A 6,000-nucleotide genomic window follows, 5' to 3' on the forward strand; every position below is an offset into this window, starting at 1 on the left:
TTGTTTTTCAGAAGACTTTTTTTGTTGTTGTTATAAGGAGTTTGGACAATTAAGAATTAGTCTATGGTTTAAAGACATAGTTATAGATCATATTCTTGTCATTTATGTCATCATCTGTTAAGCTTTTTATGACTGATTGACAACCCACTGCTTTATAGTGTGGCTTTATTGCCCCAAAGGAATGAGAGAATTGAAAAATACACTTCTGTCTCTGCTGAAAAAGTCATAAAGTTGTGGCTTCTGCTAAGTAAAGAGATTGCTTGCAAAGAGATATTTTCTTTTTTAAATGTGTTTTCATTTTTTTTCTTTCTGCCATTTTTCTTCATTGATACTGGCACATTAGATAGAGTACCTAACATTGGCACAACATAGATCTATAGAGTTAAAACTTTTGGTGGTTGCATATTTTCGGCTTCCATGTTCAAGTCAATAAAGCAAAATAAATTTGAAGGGTAAATAGCCAATTTCTGTATTCTGAAAAGCTATTTCCTTCCAAGGGAGTGAGTTTGGAGCCGGACTGACTTGAGTTATCACATGGATTCCATTGCCTCTGTGGGCTTTTCCTGTATTTTGTTCGATGCCTGTCATTTGTCCATGGGGATTTTAAACACAAGAGATCATGCAAGAGGAAAATACTAGTTCAGTTAGTTAAAATGCTGAACAAAGTTGAATCGTTTGTTTTTTGTGGAAGGACTAAAATGTATTCAAACAACAGGTACATTAGTTCTAGGTTGAAGCTTAACTTACAACAGAAATAAGCCCCACAGTTATCAACATGTTTGATACCAGTTTTAACCTGTTTCTGGGTGGTAGAAATTCATACGCTTGACACAATGCATTGAATCTTACAGGAGGGTCTCCAAAATTTGAGCTTCCAGTTATAGAAGGAAGTGGTATAAAAGTCATCTTTAGGCCAAATGTGGTGGCTCACGCCTGGAATCCCAGCACTTTGGGAGGCCAAGGTGGGCGGATCACGAGGTCAGGAGTTTGAGACCAGTCTGGCCAACATAGTGAAACCGCGTCTCCACTAAAAATACAAAAAAAAAAAAAAAAAAAAAAATTAGCCAGGTGTGCGGGTGTGGTGGTGCATGTAATCCTAGCTACTCCAGAGGCTGAGGCAGGAGAATTGCTTAAACCCGGGAGGCGGAGGCTGCATTGAGCCAAGATCATGCCACTGCACTCCAGCCTGGGTGACTGAGTAAGACTACGTCTCAGAAAAAAGAAGAAAAAAAAAAGTCCCATCTTTAGACAGGGCAAGATATAGGTTTTTCTTTAGGCCACAGGATAGCATGAGCATTCCTGAAGTCAGAAAGCTATAGATTTAGCCCCAGAATGACGGAGCAGCAATTTTTGTAGCCATTTATTCAAGCAGGACAGTTTCAAGACATTCATTCTAGATTTGTCATGACAGTAATTCCACTTACGCAGTGTTTGACCAAGGCTTTGTCTGTAGTTCCTGGTAAGCAACTTAGAACTAGATCTGCCTCCTCCCCCTCCTCCTCTCTTCTTCATCATCATTATCATCATAATCATCATTACAATCATTTCAGTCCTTAGTGATTAACTTAGAGATTAACCAAGGCAAAAAATAATTTAGGCTACTTAGCGATTTTCTTCCTCCCTTCCTTCTCTTTTATTCCTCTTTTCTTTCTCTTTCTCCTTCTTCTTCTTCTTATTCCCCTTTTGTGAGTCAGTTCTGTGAGATTTATTCCAAGAGCCAAAAACCAAGGTAAGATTTCAGAAATAGGCCTTCTAGAAGCCCACACAAATGTGTACATGTGAGGAGCTTGGCTCCAGTGGGATAAGCAGATGCAAATCCAATTGGTAAGCTGTCTTGGATCTGGCTATCTTATGAAATTTCTGGTATTAGTTATTTGAGACTCCTATCACCTTGCAAAAATCCCGAGAAATCCCATTCCTCAGTTGGACAGAATGAGGTGCCTTAGAAATCCCATTCCTTGTTTGGACAGAAAGAGGTGCCCTAGGTGTCAATTACTATCTTGACAAATCTGGAATGAAAGTCTTGAAACTATCCTCCTTGAAAAAATGACTACAAAAATGGCTGCTTAGCCATTCTTGGGCTAAATCCACATCTTTCTGACTTCAGGAATGCCCATGCTCTCCTGTGCCCTAAATGAAAACCCATATCTTGCCCTTCTAAAGATGATCTCTATGTCACTCCCTTCTATAACTGGAAGCTGAAAGTTTGGAGAACCTCCTGTAAGAATTGAATTCATTTAGTTAAGCATATGAGTTTCTACTATTCAGAAATAGGTTAAAACTGAAATTAGTAGAAAAAACTGGAGATTTTGTGTAAGGACAGAAAAAATATAGATGATACTGGGTGAAAAAGGGACAAGAAGTGAAAATGATAAGAAGACAGCAGAATCCACTCAATGGTAAGTCTGAATTTCCCACTTCACGCTATGGGCAAGATTCATTTGTATTACAGGAACAGGAGCAGGAGGCTTTGACAACTGAGATCTTCGATCATGAGTGTTGTGAATGCAGACGGGGTGAGTTTCTATATGAATGCACTTTCCTGTGACTTGATAATTATTCTGTGGAGTCTAGCATGCCTCAGATGTTCAAACCTCTTCCCTCCCTTGGAGTGTGGCATCAGATGCTGCCTGCCAGCAACTTGCAGATGACAATCTGCCCCTTGTCTTTTCCTGGGATCTTGCAAGAAGGAACTACTTCCCTACACTGTGGGTCAAGCATAGTAGTTCTTTACCATCACCTGTTCGTTAAATATTTTTTTTGCTTCTAGGTTTTGTACTCCAGGCACTGTGCTAGGCACCAGGACTATAATACAACTTGTGATCTGTAGAGGAGTCAGACAATTATCCAGGCATCCCAAAGAAATGTCAATTGCAAGTAAGCAAATTCTATGAAAGCAAAATACACAGCACACAACACTTCACCATGGATTTAACCTGGTCAGGAAGGTCTGGAATATGATGACAGAGCTGTCTGAAGTTTGGGTAGGAATTAACTAGTTGAAGAGGGGAATTAGGAGGTTCTGGTTAGAGACCTGGGTTGTACAAAAGCACGTGTGTTCTCTCAGCCAAAACCATACTGGGATTTCTGTGGAGGTATAGAGGGAGTGGGGAGAGTGTCCCTTTCATGGCTTCTGGACTGAAATCTATCACTCAGGTCTTGGAAACTCTTTGGTCACCTGTGCTCCAAGTCTCACATGGCCTCTCAGGTAAAGATTGCTTTACCCTCTTTATCTAATCTTTCAATACATTTCTCATTCTCCCTGCCCCTGCCCCCAATCAGTGTAAGGCGGGGCAGGGTAGAAACATAAAGAGCCAGCAAACATGTCTTTGTCTTTTTTCTTTCATGTCCCAAGGGAATAAATCTCTTTCTTCCTCCAGACAAACACCACCCAACACGCCTCATGTATATCATTTTAAGCTACAGAAATATGGAATCTTCAGTGAAGTTTACCTTTGGGGCCACTCCCACCTTAACCTGGTATGGCCACTTTAAGAAGTCATCACTTCCCCATTATAGAACCTACCAGGCTTGACTTTTTTGTTCTTATTCCTTCACTTTTAGATTTGATCTGTTCTATTGTTTGTTTCCTAGTAGCTTCAGTTCCTCTAAAATTCTGACTCCCTGCCCCAGAACCCACTCATGTAGCCTTGAGTAACATTCTCTTCTCTTTGATCCATAGGCCTGGATCCCTTTTTCCCTGGAGGCTGTTCTGAAGATGGCACCCTACCTGCTCACCTTTTAGTGTACCTGGGCACCCATGCCTCCATATGGTGACCCTCAAATCATACTGTATGAAGAGCAGCTGTTTTGTCAACTATTTTTTAATGAGATTTTTTTTGCTTTGGTTTAAAAAATAGCATATATTTGCGTTAGAAAATTAGAAATACAGAAGAAACAGAAATATAAAAGAATTACCTATAACATGCAAAAATGACTAGTACAAATGTTTTTGTTTTTTTACAGTATGTGAACATATTGTATGTTTATATTAATATCCATAGTATTTATTTTTGCCTACATGTTTTACTTAACATATGTAGTAAGCATTTCCCATGTTAGTCAAATTATTTGTGGACATTATTTTTAATGACTATTAATGTTATTACTCTACAGCTTGCCGAATAAGTCTCCTATTATATGTCATTTTGGGTCCTAGCAACATTTTTGTGTTTAAATCCTTGTAGCAGTTTTGACTGATTTCCTTAAGATAGAGTCCAAGAAGAGAAATAATTTGCTTGTTTGTTTATCATTTGGTACTTTCTTTTATGGTAATGTCCTTGGGGCTGATAATTCAGAACCATGAATAGATATGATTCTTGTCTTTGAGGAGATTGTAGCCTTGTGCTAGGTTAAAGAATAGGCACGTTTTAAAGTTCTCGATACACATTTTCAAAGTGCTTTTCAAAAATTTGTATCAATTCATCCTTCTACTATAAGGGAAAATCTGTTCTGGGTTGTTTTTCTGGTATATCTTCCTATTAAGAACCTGTTCTCCCTCCTGCTTTGTGACTCACATGGAGTTGCCACTGCATGCTATCATCTCCATCCCTTAGAGCAACCTATTAGAGAACTTACTCTCTGGAGTCCCAAAAGAGAAACAACAGCAACAACTCAGCAATTCATCTGGGGTCAGCGTGTTACCCAGTCTGGGCCATTGGAGATTTTTTTAAAGGGAAGTTTCTCCTATTTTCTTCAAAATTCTGAGCTGTGAAGAGGACCACTAGAAAGTTCAATCTATTTATGATTTTTTAAAAAACTGTTATTATATATATTTAAGTGTATGTCATGTTTCCACACATATATACATAGTGAAATGATCACTGTAATCAAGCTAATTAGAATATCCCCCATCTCGCATAGTCACCTTTGTGTGTGAAAAGGGTTCAGTGCTTCCCTCTCCACTCTTCATCTCCCCTTTAAAAAAGCAGAGATGAATGGAGAGGGAAAGGTTGAACAATGGTTATGTGGTGGGACTGCTGGGATTCACCTGAGAGTTAAAACCAGCTAGTTCTACCCGTATGTTTTTCACTTAGATAAGCCAACAAATTAATTTCTTTTCCTCTATTCTTCTTGTCTTCTTTCCTGCCTCTTTACCTGTCTCCCTTCCTTCCTCTCTTCCCACTCTCTTTCTTTCCTTATTTAAATTGGTTTGAATTGAGTTTCTGACACTAATGGAGAGTCCTTATTGTGCCTTCACGTTATTTTTATCAAACCAGAAAATGTTAATGACATAAAACAATTACTGTTTGGACAAGGAAAATTGTATTTCTTTCCTTGAAATTTCTACACACATACACATTTGTGCTTGTTAGTGAGGCTAAGCATTTTCCCCCTTATTTGTGAATTATATATTCAATGTTTTGATCCATTTATCAAATAAATTCCTTAGTTTAAAAAATATTTGCAGGTGCGGTTATTATGGAAAGCAGCATGAAGTTTCCTCTAAATATTAAAAATAGAATCACCACATGACTCAGCAATCCCTCCTCTCTATATATTTTTAAAGGAAATGAAATCAGCACTTCATGGAACTATCTCCACTCCCGGCTGGGCGCAGTGGCTCACGCCTGTAATCCCAGCACTTTGGAAGGCCAAGGCAGGTGGATCACGAGGTCAAGAGATGGAGACCATCCTGGCCGACATGGTGAAACCCTGCCTCTACTAAAAATACAAAAATTAGCTGGGCGGGGAGGCACATGCCTGTAATCCCAGCCACTCGGGAGGCTGAGACAGGAGAATCGCTTCAACCTGGGAGGCGGAGGTTGCAGTGGCTGAGATCGCACCACTGCAGTCCAACCTGGTGACAGAGGGAGACTCCATCAAAAAAAAAAAAAAGAAAAAAAGAAATATCTCCACTCTTATAGTCATTGAAGCATAATTAACAATAACCAAGCTATGAAATCAATGTAAGTGCCCATCAATGGATGAGTGGATAAAGAAAATGTTACACACACACACACACACACACACACACACACACAGTGGAATTTCATGTAG

The 6,000-nt window shown here is 39.2% G+C and overlaps 1 long non-coding RNA gene across 3 annotated transcripts in view; it reads left to right on the forward strand.

The window, feature by feature from the left end:
- LOC101929750 (uncharacterized) overlaps positions 1 to 5,601 on the forward strand; it is a 60,750-nt gene extending 55,149 nt beyond the window's left edge. For 2 of the 3 annotated variants that reach the window (XR_001738477.2, XR_001738479.2), the window contains 2 exons: positions 2,771 to 2,877; positions 3,683 to 5,601. This is a non-coding gene — a long non-coding RNA (uncharacterized LOC101929750). Of the gene's footprint in view, positions 1 to 2,452; positions 2,517 to 2,770; positions 2,878 to 3,682 lie in introns of all 3 variants that reach the window. The other variant, XR_001738478.2, reaches the window with a different exon arrangement.
- Positions 5,602 to 6,000: the final 399 nt, after the last annotated feature.

The sequence above is a fragment of the Homo sapiens genome, chromosome 1 (assembly GCF_000001405.40).
Source record: "Homo sapiens chromosome 1, GRCh38.p14 Primary Assembly".
NCBI classification, from domain to species: domain Eukaryota; kingdom Metazoa; phylum Chordata; class Mammalia; order Primates; family Hominidae; genus Homo; species Homo sapiens.